Source organism: Homo sapiens, chromosome 3 (genome assembly GCF_000001405.40).
Source record: "Homo sapiens chromosome 3, GRCh38.p14 Primary Assembly".
In the NCBI taxonomy this organism is placed as follows: Eukaryota; Metazoa; Chordata; class Mammalia; order Primates; family Hominidae; genus Homo; species Homo sapiens.
The window spans coordinates 196728584-196743761 of record NC_000003.12 but is presented as its reverse complement, the minus strand read 5'-3'; the positions used below and the strand labels follow the sequence as shown (position 1 = coordinate 196743761).

Below are 15178 nucleotides of genomic sequence, written 5' to 3'. Positions count from 1 at the left end.
TACAGGCGCCCGCCACCACGCCCAGCTAATATTTTTATTTTTAGTAGAGAATACTAAATTCTCTACTAAAGAATAGTAGAGAATATAGGTTTCACCATGTTGGCCAGGCTGGTCTTGAACTCCTGACCTCAAGTGATCGGCCCACCTCAGCCTCCTAATGTGTTGTGATTACAGGTGTGAGCCACCGCACCCGGCCTAGAAGGCAGTTTTAATTCTAAGTTTAGGAGTATCGACTCTACAGCATGTAAGAACAGACTATTAACTAACGTTTATTAAGACCTATAATTACAGAATCCTTTACCTGCATTCCCTCATTTGATCTAAATATCCCTGTGAAATTGGTATTATTATTATTATCCCCATCTTACAGGTGAGAAAAGCAAGTCTTGAAAAGAATGTATATCTTGCCCAGGGTAAAGTAGAACAGCAAGAATTCAAACGCAGGACTCTAGCTCCTAACCACATGGGATACATGGAGTAAGTACTAAAGAAACTCAGAGATAGTAGGCTGGAACACTGAAATCCTGAATGAATGTTCAGACTGACTACCCTTAACCAGGCAGGTGACCCTAGAAGGGAAGAAGTGATGAAACTCAACTCTGATCACAGAAGAAAACAACCAGTATTTTATTTTTTGGGGGCAATGAGGGATTTTTTTCCTTTCCTATTCTGCTCTGTTAAGGCACAAAAAGGATACTAGGAAGAGCTTGGACACACAATTTGCAATTAACACCCTCCCTCTGATTAGTCTGGAAACTCAACTCTTATACCAAACTGATGGAAACCTTTACGACTTAAAGTCTTGAAGTTGACCCAGTTTCTTTTTCTTTTTCTTTTTTAATGAGACGGAGTCTCGCTCTGTAGCCCAGGCGGGAGTGCAGTGGCGCGATCTCGACTCACTGCAAGCTCCGCCTCCCGGGTTCATCACGCCATTCTCCGGCCTCAGCCTCCCGAGTAGCTGGGACTACAGGCGCCTGCCACCAAGCCCGGCTAATTTTTTGTTGTATTTTTAGTAGAGACGGGGTTTCACTGTGTTAGCCAGGATGGTCTTGATCTCCTGACCTCGTGATCCGCCCGCCTCGGCCTCCCAAAGTGCTGGGATTACAGGCGTGAGCCACCGCGCCCGGCGAAGAAGACCCAGTTTCAAATTTTAACCAAAAGTGTAAAAGTCAGAAAGCCAAAAGAAATATACTCAAATATTATTATAATAATAATCGATTTTGATGGATAAAAGGAAGAATCTAACAATTCCTACTCATTTTATCCTTGGCTACTTGAAGTTCTTAAATATTAGAAAAGTATAATTGAAAGTTTATCTTTAGCTACCTGAACAAGTTCTAGTCTCTCTTAAAAAGTATAATTGAAATAGAAACTGTTGGTGGTGTGCCGTGGCTCACGCCTATCCCAGCATTTTGGGAGGCTGAGGCGGGCAGATGACCTGAGGTCGGGAGTTCGAGACCAGCCTAACCAACACGGTGAAACCCCATCTCTACTAAAAATACAAAATTAGCCGCGCGTGGTGGCGCGTGCCTGTAATCCCAGCTACTCAGCAGGCTGAGACAGGAGAATCGCTTGAACCCAGGAGGCGGAGGTTGCGGTGATCGCACCATTGCACTCCAGCCTGGGCAACTGAAACTCCGTCTCAAAAAAAAAAAAAAAAAAGAAATATTAATTGTTAACCGCATCTACTTGGGAACCTGTCTATCATAAAGATCAGAGAGCCCTATCGCCTGTATACTCGAACTATAAACTTAATTTTGAATTTGGGTTTGCAAGGTTAGTATTAAATAGCACGGAGTCCAGAATAGTATCTCTCTCTGAATGAGAGTAAACCATAAACCAAGGCCCTAAGGGAAGTGAAATACCCAGGAACTCTTCCTTCATAAAAATATCTGCTGATTAGAAGAAACTGGCAGAGAAGCCAACATCTACAGACCAAGTTTCAAACTCCAACAAAACTCCAACCTTTCTACACCTTAATCCCTCAGGCCAATAAAACATCCATTAAGTTAAGGACAACTGATACTACTATTTAAGAAATGATGACAGTATTGAAGCTGAGTATTGGAGCCACTTTTTTCAGAGCCTTGCTGGAGGGAAAGGTAACAATGGGCTACTTAGTGAAAACACAAAATACACTGAATTTAGGTCAACCTGTTACCAAATCGGAAAGTTGGTTTAAGACCTACATCTATTACAGGTTCACTTTCCGTAATAAGTGTCAATCAATGTGCTTGGCTAATAAGTAGCTCGAAAGATTTAATAGCCGAGGATGACACAGTGAAAAAGTTGCCTGAAATCCATACTCCTAACAGAACATGAAAAAGGCTCTTCATATATACACGAGCATGAGTGGGCTTTACAGAAGCCACAGACCTTCTGGCAAAGTTGACAAGTTTTAACCTGCTTTAAAAATTACTATTCACTGCCTTCATCCCAATGTAACTTTACTGAGTGTTATTCTATTGGACAACCCTACAAAAACAAAATCCCCAGAGCAAATTCTTGTACATTTCAATATCCTGCCTACTTATAAGAGCGGAAGAGTCGAACACAGCAGGGGAAAAAACGTGACGTGCACAACCTTGATCCAAAACACAGCTCTTCGTAGTTTAATTTTAGGCCTAACCATTTTGTCTTTTTATAAAGGTTAAAAAAGAAAACAAAGAAAGGACACATCGCCTGTAACGCAGAAGTGAGATAATGATATCAACCGGAGTTCGTTATTTATCAAGGGACAACAAATCACGCTCACACTGCCCAGGGAGAGTACTACTAAAATTAAGATACAAGGATGGGTACAACCTCACACCCACTGACGATGACACGCTTCTGTTCTTGGATGACTTATCTTTAAAGAATTAGTTAAAAGGTTGAGTGGCAACGTTTTGTGTTTGTGCGTGCGTGTGTTTCCAAGAGAGCCAAACATGGTGAAAAACCAATCTTAACTTCACCTAAGTTATCTAAAGAAGCAAATTTCACCCCTAGGCTGAAGCTCAAACAGGAGCGAGGAGAAGCTCCGAAAGATCAGTTCGTAAGCGGTGGCCCTCAAGCGCCCGGGACGCTCTACGTTTTTACCAATGTGGAATGTGGAAAAGAGGTTACAGGCTGGAGCTGAGAAAACAGTCAAGCTACTCGCGACAATATTCCTGAGCAGTGAAACGGGTGAACAGAGAGCGAGCAAGCAGGGGCTGAGAATCAGTGAGAGGAAAAATCAAGGAACAAAACCGGAGAGTCTGGTCCAGCATTAAGAAAACGGAGCAAAGGAAGAGGGTGAAACGCGAGGGGAGGGAAGACCGAGAGTCGGCAGAGACCGTGGTGCCGCGAGGTTCAGAGCAGGGCTGGGTCCAGGAAGAGTCAGACCTCCGCAGCCCAGCGAGCTTCCCATTTCTGGCTAAAGCCAGCGAAGAAAACGGCCCTGGGGAGCAGACAATGAGCCACCGCCCCAGGAGCTGCGGCTCCCAGCACGCAGGTGGCGGCTCCCCGGCCCCGCGCGGGGCAGGTCGGCCGTCCCGGGCCGCTCCCGCCCGCCAGGCCACGGAGAAGGAAGGAGGAGGAAGAGACCCGGCCTGCGTCCCGCGCCGGCCGGCCTGTGTGCACTTACCCCGGGCAAGGCAAGGTCCCCGCCCCAGCGAGGCGCCTCGGTCAGAGCTCCCGGCGGGCTGCGGAGCCGCCCCGGGCTAGCGCGCGGTGCGGGGAGGGGAGGGGAGGGAAGGGGAAGCGGGGCGGGAAGAGACGCCGCGCTGGAGCAGCCGCTGCTACCGCTAGGCCCAGCGGCGGCGGAGTCCTGCGCACGCCAGGGAGGGGAGGGGAGGGAGCCTTCGGCAATGGCGACGGCCCGGGCCGGAGGGGAAGCGGAACAACCGCCGCCGCTGCGCGTGGCCACAACCCTGGGGGAGGAAGACGGCGGGGAGCGGGGCGGGGCGGGGCCAGAACCCAGAACCCCTCCCGCCCCGAAGCCGGAGCTCCCCGGGGCGGAGACGAGCGCCACCTCCCATGGGCAGGCCCGCGCGGGGGCCGCTGGGAGTAGTAGTTCGGTGATAGACGTTGCTTTTATTCCTTGGGTAGTCTTTGTATTGAGAGGAGCAGCCAGTCCCTCATTTAATTCAGCATTGTCTCCAAGCAGGTCTCTGCCGACGGAAGACGCTGACAGACGATTGCTGTTATACACATCTGCTCCGCGACATTTGTTTCTGGGAATTCATCCGTTATCCATTTTGCTTTTTTGCTTACAAATTCTTAACTAAAATTTTGCTGCTAAATTAAGTATCACCTCCTTGCAAATTAAGACTTCCCTATTTTATCCACGGAGGAGTTCATCAATGTTTCACTTATTCTACAAATATTTGAGTGTCTGATATGGACTAGACACTGTTAAGCATCAGAAATACAAGGGTGGTTCAGGTGCGGTGGCTCACGCCTGTAATCCCAGCACTTTGGGAGGCTGAGGCAGGCGGATCACCTGAGGTCGGGAGTTCGAGACCAGCCTGGCCAACACGATGAAACCCCGTTTCTACTAAAAATACAAAAATTAGCTGGGCATGGTGGCACGCATCTGTAGTCCCAGCTACTCGGGAGACTAAGGCAGGAGAATCGCTTGAACCCAGGAGGAGGAGGCTGCAGTGAGCCAAGATCGGGCCACTGCACTTCAGCGTGACAGAGTCGTCATGCCTCAAAAACAAAACAAAAAACACAAAAGAAATGCAAGGGTGAACACGATTCACCAAGCCTTTGTGGAGCTTATATGAGGACGCAGTAATTAAAGTAGTCACACCTGGTATAAGAAAAAACTTGGCGAGGTTACTTTGGATAGGGTGGTCGGAGAAGGCCTCGTTAAGGAGGTGACACTTAAGGCAAGAACAGAAAGAGACAGCAATAAGAAGCACCCAGAGAAAAGCAATACAGGCAGGAGAAGAAAGAAAAGGGCTTGCTACGGTCAGTTAAGAAGGCCTGTGTAGCTGGGGCCTAGAACAAGAAGGCGGTACTATTAAGAAAACACTACAGCAGACAAGATTCAGGTCATGAAAGATCCTGAATGCCATGGTAAAAAGTCTATATTACAAAAAACCATTAAAAGGCTTTTTTAAGCAGGAAAGCGATGTTACCTGGCTTACACTTTAAGATCACTAGACTGCAATGTGGATAATGGAGTATAGAGATGCAAGAATAGAAGGGAAATAAAGTAGGAAGGCAGTGGAAAGAAAGAGGAATTGTGCTTCTCTATCAATGTAGAGCAAAAAACTCAATTGATGCAGTGGGTACAGGAGAGAAAGGAATCAAGGAGCAACATGGCACAGTAAGAGATAACCTGAAAAATGCTCTGATTATTAAACACACAGAAACACTGGATAAATAAGACATCCTTTCAAAGGCATAACTTGCAAGAATGAAAATAGAATGTTTCTGACAGTCTTCCAAATTTCACACTCAACCTGAAGAAGGGGCAGGACACCAGAGTGGTAAGCAGGGCAGTGAAGCCATGGTTGTGTTGAGGGCACCTACTTATCTCAGAAATCTCTAGAGTTTTAATAGGTGCACAGGAAACTAAAGACAAGGACTTGGGCCTATACAAGAAGTCAGGACTGTGATCCTGCATAGGACTGGAAATTCAAGGCGCTATACCCTCCAAGAACAGACTGGGGGGAAAAAAAACCCTATGCTAGCCCAGGGAGACACACAGGACATTTGTTTACTTTGGCCTGCAGTGGGCTTGCAGGGCAGAAGAAAATTTTCCCTTTAGAATTAATAACCCTTTAGAATTTTCCCTCACTAAGGTTTTAAAGTTCAAATTTGTCAAGAAAGTGGTCCCAGGCTGGAGTTCTGGGGGGCCTGGAAGAAACAAATACAAATCCTGACTGCACAGGTGTACCCTCAACCTCGGTCTCAAAGGATTTCACAGATAAACAGGATTTCCGAAGCCAAACATGAGCACCCGAAATACAATACACCTGAGGAAATAAGCAGCGATGAGTGAGTCAATAGAAACTACAAAGAACATAATGAAACCCACACAGACTTTAGCTGCTGGAATTGATGGCTACAGAATATACAGTACGCCTATTTAAATGATTAAAGAAAGTAAGACAGGAGCTAGAAAACACGAGCAAGAAACAAGATGCTTTTTTTTTTTAACGACCAAACAGCTTTGAAAATGAAATAAGTAGGCCAGGCGCGGTGGCTCACACCTGTAATCCCAGCAGTTTGGGAGGCCGAGGTGGGCAGATCACCCGAGGTCAGGAGTTCGAGACCAGCCTGGCCAACATGGTGAAACCCCAGTCTCTACTAAAAATGCAAAAATTAGCCAGGCGTGGTGGTGGGCACCTGTAGTCCCACCTACTCAGGAGGCTGAGGCAGGAGAATCACTTGAACCTGGGAGGTGGAGGTTGCAGTAAGCCAAGAACATGCCATTGCACTCCAGCCTGGGCAACAAGAGCAAAACTCCGTCTCAAAACAAAAACAACAACAACAAAAGAATTAAGTAGAATTTCTAGAAACAAAGAATAACTGAAACCAAAGCCAATGTTTGGTTAAATAGCAGATTACACACAATTGAAGAGAAAATTAGTAAACTGGAAGACAGACCAAAAGAAATTACTGAGAACAGCCTAGAGACAGGAAAAATGAAAGCAAGCTTAAGAGACATGGGGATAGATTGTTAAGGTCTCTACCATACTCCTAATGAGAATTCCAGGAGAGAAAAGAGAAAAACCAAGAGAGGCAGATAATGATGAGATAATGGCTGAAAAATTTCCAGAATTGATTAAAGACAGGAATCTTCAGATTCAGGAAGCAAACTGAATACCAAGCAGGATAAGTAAAGAAATTTCAAACACATGAAAATGAAACCGCAGAATACCAGAGATAAAGCAACCAGAGAGAAAAGACATTCTGTACAAACAACTATTACATTCATAGCAGATTTCACAACAGCAAAACGGGTGCCAGTCAATAATGGTATATTTTCAAAGTACCAAGAGAAAATAACCAAGCTTAGAAGTGTACAGCTACCGGCTGGGCACAGTGGCTCACACCTGTAATCCCAGCACTTTAGGAGGCTGAGGTGGGCAGATCACCTGAGATCAGGAGTTCAAGACCAGCCTGGCCAACAACGGCAAAACCCTGTCTCTGCTAAAAATATAAAAAATAGCAGGGTGTGGTGGTGTGCGCCTGTAGTCCCAGCTACTTGGTAGGCTGAGGCAGGAGAATCACTTGAACCCAGGAAGCAGAGGTTGCAGTGAGCAGGGATCACACCACTGCACTCCAGCCTGGACGACAGAGCAAGACTCTGTCTCAAAAAAAAAAAAAAAAAAAAAAGTGTACAACTACCTAAATTATCCATCAGATGAGTGAGGATGAAATAAATATATCATCAAACATAAACAAGCTACCAACAGAGACACACTAAAGGAACTCCTTAAAAGGTATATTTCTTTCTTTTTCTTTCCCTTTTTTTTTTTTTTTTGTGACGGAGTCTCACTCTGTCGCCCAGGCTGGGGTGCAGTGGTACGATCTCGGCTCACTGCAACCTCTGCCTCCCGGGTTCAAGTGATTCTCCTGCCTCGGCCTCCCGAGTAGCTGGGATTACAGCCGCATGCCACCACTCCCGGCTAATTTTTTGTATTTTTAGTAGAGATGGGGTTTCACCATGTTGGCCATGTTTACAAGATAATACAAACAAAACCAGAAATGTTCTGTTATACTAAAAGTGATGTCATCTGCAACCATTTATCTAAGCAAGAAGAGTTATATCAAAGTTTTCTTCATTCACATTTTTATTACACTTCTGAATATTTGTATAAGTGAGTAAATGGCTGAACCACATTCCAAGCCACAATCTTAAATATTTTAAATACTGATGAAACCTGGTTGTGATGAGCAAAAACAAAAACATTCTGTATACACATACCCCCACATACTCTTAAGATGTTAAACAGTACCGTGTTCCCTCCCCGTCTAACCATATTCCAAAACGTTGCCTGTCAATCTAACCATATCCCAAAACAATGCCTGAATTGTAGCTGACATATATAATTCCATTTCAGTGTCATATTATTAATCCCATAGTGAAAGAAATGTTTCTAAAACATGAAATTCTTTCTTACGAGAAAGCATGAAATAGGTATGAAACTATACTGGGTTGAAATTTTAGTCATTTTAAAGGTCACTGTTTCTGCTTTATGGCACTGGGTTACCTTTTCCAATATTTAAGTCTCAAATACACGTTTAAAAAGAACTGTTAGGACTAGTCAGGTCATACATGTCAAATTATACAAGATGTAGTCCCATGAAAACACCAAAATACTTTAGGAAATGGAGCAGTGATGGCATATACAAAGGTTTATCACATCTCAATACTCTACATAAAATAAATAATGCCAACACACCCTGGTTTGATGTCTTCTGTTTTGGAACATGCTTGCCCTAAGGTTTTATTTACTTTTTTTTTTTTTTTTTTTTTTTTTTTTTTGAGACAGAGTCTCACTCTGTCGCCCAGGCTGGAGTGCAGTGGCGTGATCTCGGCTCACTGCAAGCTCTGCCTTCCGGGTTCATGCCATTCTCCTGCCTCAGCCTCCCGAGTAGCTGGGACTACAGGTATGCACCACCATACCCGGCTCATTTTTTTGTATTTTTAGTAGAGATGGGGTTTCACCGTGTTAGCCAGGATGGTCTCAATCTCCTGACCTCGTGATCTGCCCGTCTCGGCCTCCCAAAGTGCTGGGATTATAGGCGTAAGCCACCGCGCCCGGCCAAGGTTTTATTTTTTAATTAGCCTATGGCACTTACTTTATTTTCTAATTTTTTTCCAATCATAACAGTAAATGAAGAACCTTTGTTTAAAAAAATTACCTGATGATTCCAATTATTGTTCATGTACAACTTTATTTAAAATGGCAATCTGAGTTGTCTTCCTGACATACTCTGTACCAAATCTTAGTACTCAGTTTCATCAAGTCCTTTGCCAATTCATATATTCAAAAGAAACATGATAAAATGTAAAAGGAGAATGGAGTGCGTTAAGGAATAATCAATAATTTAAGATTATCAATAATTTTGATATTAATATTAATTTCTTAGCTGTCCTACTTTAATGATTTTCATTGAAACTCTGGCACATCTTTAATAGTCTCATGACATTACTATTTAAATAAACATGATTTTCATCCAAATTATTTTATTCTTCTTTTTTGTTTTTCCTTTGGAGACAGGGTCTCGTTCTGTCGCCCAGGCTGTAGTGCAGTGGTGCGATCTTGGCTCTCTGGAACCTCCGCCTCCCAGGTTCAAGCGATCCTCCCGCCTCACCCTTCCAATTAGCTGGGACTACAGATGCCCACCACCAGCCCCAGCTAACTTTTGTATTTTTAGTAGAGACAGGGTTTCACCAAGCTGGTCTCAAACTCTTGACCTCTGGTGATCCGCCCACCTCGGCCTCCCAAAGTGCTGGGATTACAGGTGTGAGCCACTGTGCCTGGCCTATTTTATTCTTATTTATAACGGTTTTCTCAATTTGTAGCTTAAATTGAAAGTACTTGCAAAATGAGAATAATTTGTCTCTACTACATAAAGAAATAATTTTTCTACCCCAAATGAAGATAAAGTCACTTCTCACAAAATAAACATTAATTTAGCAGAATTAAGTTTCCCCTTATGGCATCTGATGCTTGAGGATTACCAAGGATCCATGCAATAGAGCACTACATTTTGGAATTAGCTGAGAATGATCCCAAATTTCCTCTAGTAAACATAATTTTGGCCACAAATGAAGACAAAAGATAAAAGTAATTAATTCTAGAAGAACACCTCTCGTCAGAAATTAATAGATCTTATTTAGGTTTCTAGGAAGCATTTAACTACATAAAACTTATAGGGAAAAATGGCCATATTTGAAAACTGCTACAAGGATCAATGTAGAGCACAGGATTGTAATGAGCAGAGTCACAGAACATACTAGAGAGGTATGTACAGTCAGTCCCACTGGAACTTGTAGAATCACATTCTTATATACCTATGGAGAGAGAGAGAGAAGTTAGACATTGAAAATGCATGTCATGGGCCCGGTGTGGTAGCTCATGCCTGTAATCCCAGCACTTCGGGAGGCCAAGGCGGGCAGATCGCTTGAGGTCAGGAGTTCAAAACCAGCCTGGCCAACATCTCTACTAAACCATCTCTACTAAAAATACAAAAATTAGCCAGGTGTGGTGGCAGGTGCCTGTAGTCCCAGCTACTAGGGAGGCTAAGACAGAACAATCACTTGAACCCGGGAGGCGGAGGTTTGCAGTGAGCTGAGATCGTGCCACTGTACTCCAGCCTGGGAGACAGAGGAAGACTCTGTCTCAAATAAATAAATAAATAAATAAAAATAGTAAAATAAAATAAATGTCATAAGGTGAGACCACTATTTCTTTGATTTTTAATTGGATATTTTTATTTCCTTTTTCTTTTAAATATATTTCAGCCAGTGCTACACTACATGTAATATTATTGGTTTGAATGACTTTTGAATCTAACATTTCATTTAATGTTACAGAATCAGACTCAATTCCCACAATAATTTGTTAAATCTCATTAGTTCTGATTTTTCTGCTTTTTACATAAAGTATATTATTTTAAGAAAAGCTATATCCCAGTGTCACCTCTGTAATCAATATAAACATTTACTTCCTCTTACCATGTTTCAAATTAGAATACAGAATTCTCTCTAAATTGAAGACTTAGAGGAAAAACATTAAAACAACAAAAAACTAAATTATTCTTTCATTCCCATTTGCCTTTCTCTCCCCAGATAGCTTTTAAAGCCTTGTTATTCCCATATTGTACAGCTGGATGTGGCCTTTACTATGACTAGCAATGGAAAAGCTCCTACATTCAACTCAGTTTCTATTTTCTATTTGGTTTTGAAGATAAAGTTCAATGAAAAACACTGGGAAAGTTTATACTTTAAAAATAAGTTTTAAAAAACATTAAAATGTACGTAACTTGGGAATACTTTTTCTTTTTGTAAATACCTGAATTATGATTTCACACCCCAAAAAATACAAGTAACCAACCCAATCTGCAACAAAGTGCTATCTGAAAACCGTCATTCAAAAAAATGACATCTTCAACAATCCTTGGGATGGAATACCACCTTAGTAATGGCCACCTATTTTTCTGGTATATATGAAGATGAAATATATATAAAGTTGGCCGGGTGCAGTGGCTCATGCCTGTAATCCCAGCACTTTGGGAGGCTGAGGCAGGCGGATCATGAGGTCAGGAGTTTGAGACCAGCCTGGCCAACACAGTGAAACCCTGTCTCTACTAAAAATACAAAAATTATCCAGGCATGGTGGCACGTGCCTATAGTCCCAGCTACTCAGGAGGCTGAGGCAGGAGAATGACTTGAACCCGGGAGGCGGAGGTTGTGGTGAGCCGAGATCGTGCCACTGCACTCCAGCCTGGGCAACAGAGCGAGACTCCGTCTCAAAAAAAAAAATAAAATAAAAAAAAAAATAAAATAAAATAAAATATATATATATATATATATATATATATATATATATATATAAATAATATATACATATAGTTAAAAGCTATATTTAAAGTGTTAAATTATTATGACCTCTTATGGCAAGTTACAGAATTTTAAAGGCAACTGAAGTCAGGTGTGGTGGCTCACGCCTGTAATCCCAGCACTTTGGGAGGCTGACGGGGGTGGATCACCTGAAGTCAGGAGTTTGAGACCAGCCTGACCAACAAGGTGAAACCCCGTCTCTACTAAAAATACAAAAATTAGCCGGGCATGGTGGCAGGCGCCTATAGTCCCAGCTACTCGGGAGGCTGAGACAGGAGAACTGATTGAACAGGGAGGCGGAGGTTGCAGTGAGCCAAGATTGCACCACTGCACTCCAGCCTGGGCAACAGAGCGAGACTCTGTCTCAAAATAAATAAATAAATAAATAAGGACAACTGAATTCAAAATGTTTTAAAAGGGTCACTACTTATCTTGTAGCAATACACACTAATTTGCTAAATCAATAAATCATAAACACTAAGCATACTCTTCATTGACATAATCAATCAAATGCAGGTCTCCAGATGTATTTTAGAGTTTGAGAAAAATTTTCAGGTACCATATGGCAATGGCAACCTACTCAAAAACAACTCTACACTGCATAAGATTGCAGAGTCATCCATCTTCCCAACTGTATGTTCAATGAAAGTTCCCCAACAAAAAACAGCAGTGCTTTGTAGTAACCCTTTGCTGTAAGAAAAAACAGCTTTCTATATTAGAAAATGCTAATCCCAGCTGGGCACGGTGGCTCATGCCTGTAATCCCAGCACTCTGGGAGGCCAAGATAGGCGGATCACCTAAAGTCAGGAGTTTGAGACCAGCCTGGCCAACAGGGTGAAACCCTGCCTCTACCAAAACTACAAAAATTAGCTGGGTGTGGTGGCGGGCACCTAGAATCCCAGCTACTTGGGAGGCTGAGGCAGGAGAATCACTTGAACCTGGTAGGCGGAGGCTGCAGTGAGCCGAGATTGTGCCACTGCACTCCAGCCTGGGTGACAGAGCGAGACTCCGCCTAAAAAAAAAAAAAAATGCTAATCTCTTAAATGTGGCAGGAACATTACAGAAAGAGCTTTAAATGAGGCACATGATCTAAAAAACAACATAAAACATTAGCTTACTGATTTATACTTCATCTTGTTCCATTGGCAGATATCCTCATTCTCCAAAGCACAAGGGGCTGCCACTTCTGAGTGAGCCCAGCATTTCAAAATCGGGAACTCTGAGAAAAGTGGTAGAAAATGATGTCAGAAAACCTGTATTTGGACTGAAAGCTAGGCTTGTATTAAACCTCAATAGACAGAAGTTGTCAAACATTTTAATACATTATGTATATGATCTGGACCCATCTATCACATTCTGTTATTTTAGCATCCTTTTTTATGTGAATGCCTAAGAAATTAGAAAATCACAAAAGTATTGCAAAAGTTGAACATGACTTCTTTTTTTTTTTTTTTTTTTTTTTTGAGACAGAGTCTCACTCTGTCACCCAGGCTGGAGTGCTGTGGTGCAATCTCGGCTCACTGCAACCTCCACCTCCTGGGTTCAAGCGATTCTCCTGCCTCAGCCTCCAGAGTAGCTGGGATTACAGGTGCCTGCCATTGCACCCAGCTAATTTTTGTATTTTTAGTAGAGATCGGGTTTCACCATCTTGGCCAGGATGGTCTTGAACTCCTGACCTCGTGATCCACCCACCTCAGTTTCCCAAAGTGTTGGGATTACAGGCGTGAGCCACTACGCCTGGCCAAACATGACTTCTTAATGAATCTCATTGTACTCAAATTTGGGGCTGCTCTTAAAAATTTAATGTAAACTTATTTTTGAAGCATCACTCAGAAAAGTGAACATATCGTAAGTGCAAAACTCGATAAATTTCCATATGAAACACACCCATAAAAGAGCATTCAGATAAAAAGACAGAATATCAGAATCCAGTTCTCTCAGGAGAGGAACTTTTTCAAACTTTATTTATGCTAAGAGGTACCTTTAATAGAAACAGAAAACAAGGTTGGATGAACAAAGGTAATATAATTGAACATTTTTAATTTTCTCGTCATGAAAGGTATGACGGTAACAAATGTAGTATTAAAAACTTCCCATCTGTCGGTTTTTAGTAACAGTGCTACTAACTTTTTTTTTTTTTTTTGAGACAGTCTTGCTCTGTCTCCCAGGCTGGACTGCAGTGGCGCGATCTCAGCTCACTGAAACCTCCGCCTCCCAGGTTCAAGTGATTCCCGTGCCTCAGCCTCCCAAGTAGCTGGGATTGCAGGTGCATACCACCACACCTGGCTAATTTTTATATTTTTAGTAGAGACAGGGTTTCACCATGTTGTCTAGGCTGGTTTCGAACTCCTGACCTCAACTGATCCGCCTGCCTCGGCCTCCCAAAGTGCTGGGATTACAGGTGTGATACACTGCACCTGGCCCCAGTGCTACTAACTTTTATAAACATTCTAAATCAACCCAAATTTGAAGACACAAAGAACCAAAAACTGAAAGGGGCTTCGTAAACTAAAGAAAATGTCTTGGCCAGGTGCTGTGGCTCACGCCTGTAATCCCAGCACTTTGGGAGGCCGAGGCGGGTGGATCACGAGGTCAGGAGTTCGAGACTAGTCTGGCCAACATAGTGAAACTCCGTCTCTACTAAAAATACAAAAATTAGCCAGGCATGGTGGCGCAGCCTGTAGTCCCAGCTACTCAGGAGGCTGAGGCAGGAGAGGCGGAGATTGCGGTAAGCCGAGATTGCGCCACTGCACTCCAGCCTGGGCAACAGAGCGAGACTCCGCCTCAAAAAAAAAAAATAAGAAAGAAAGAAAGAAAACATCTTGAGAAGACTGCAAACTGCAAAAGCTTTTTATTTTTTTTATTTTATTTTTTTTTTGAGACGCAGTCTCGCTCTGTCACCCAGGCTAGAGTGCAGTGGTGTAATCTTGGCTCACTGCAACCTCCGCCTCCTGGGTTCAAATGATTCTCCTGCCTCCGCCTCCCAAGTAGCTGGGATTACAGACGCCCGCCACCTCTCCCAGCTAATTTTTTGTATTTTTAGTAGAGACGGGGTTTCACCATGTTGGTCAGGCTGGTCTCGAACTCCTGAACTCATGATCCACCCGCCTCGGCCTCCCAAAGTGCTGGGGTTACAGGCGTGAGCCACCTCGCCCGGCAGCAAAAGCTGATTTTTCAGTTTACCCATTCCCACATAAAAACAGAAACGACAATTATGCAGCAAAATTAAAAACTCACAGACAAAATCTGCAACAAAACTAGGTGATAAAATATCTTCCCAAACATCAAAATACATGCAAGTAGAAACAAAACATCAAAAGCCAGAGTCCTGCAATACTGATAACAAGAAACAAAAAGCAACAGAGGGGTAATGTGGACCAATGGCTGCAAAAAGAAACACATAGTACATGCCTACTAATATTAAATGGCTACTGAGAAGAGAACACAGCACTGACCTATAGTTTTGTCAAAGGAATCAAACCGGAATCTGATCATTCTTCTGGAGCCAGCTGCCAATTTCCAGTAAATAAAGAAGTATGAGGAACATGAGTCCAATTAGCAAAACCCCAGCTATGACCAACTACAGGTCAAATGGCCCAGGTTCTTTCAACAGATCAGTGTTGAAGA

The 15178-nt window shown here is 43.0% G+C and overlaps 2 protein-coding genes across 3 annotated transcripts in view, besides 1 other annotated feature; both read right to left on the bottom strand.

Moving 5' to 3' along the window:
• PAK2 (p21 (RAC1) activated kinase 2) overlaps positions 1 to 3905 on the bottom strand; it is a 92791-nt gene extending 88886 nt beyond the window's left edge. The window contains exon 1 of the mRNA NM_002577.4: positions 3605 to 3905. The gene's annotated coding sequence lies outside the window, so the exon portion shown is untranslated. The remainder of the gene's footprint in view (positions 1 to 3604) is intronic.
• Positions 3325 to 4114: a silencer, noted in NCBI's record as "silent region_15072". NCBI's record gives its function as "represses an Ori minimal core promoter by ATAC-STARR-seq in GM12878 lymphoblastoid cells {active_cell/tissue: GM12878}" and the evidence as "EXISTENCE:reporter gene assay evidence [ECO:0000049][PMID:35858748]".
• PIGX (phosphatidylinositol glycan anchor biosynthesis class X) overlaps positions 7755 to 15178 on the bottom strand; it is a 23631-nt gene continuing 16207 nt past the window's right edge. The window contains exons 5-7 of one of the 2 annotated variants that reach the window (NM_001166304.2): positions 15007 to 15060; positions 12670 to 12770; positions 7755 to 10003 (exon numbers count right to left, since the gene is read on the bottom strand). In NM_001166304.2, coding sequence (NP_001159776.1) covers positions 9860 to 10003; positions 12670 to 12770; positions 15007 to 15060 — 299 coding nt within the window. In that variant the 3' untranslated portion in view covers positions 7755 to 9859. The remainder of the gene's footprint in view (positions 10004 to 12669; positions 12771 to 15006; positions 15061 to 15178) is intronic. The other variant, NM_017861.4, reaches the window with a different exon arrangement.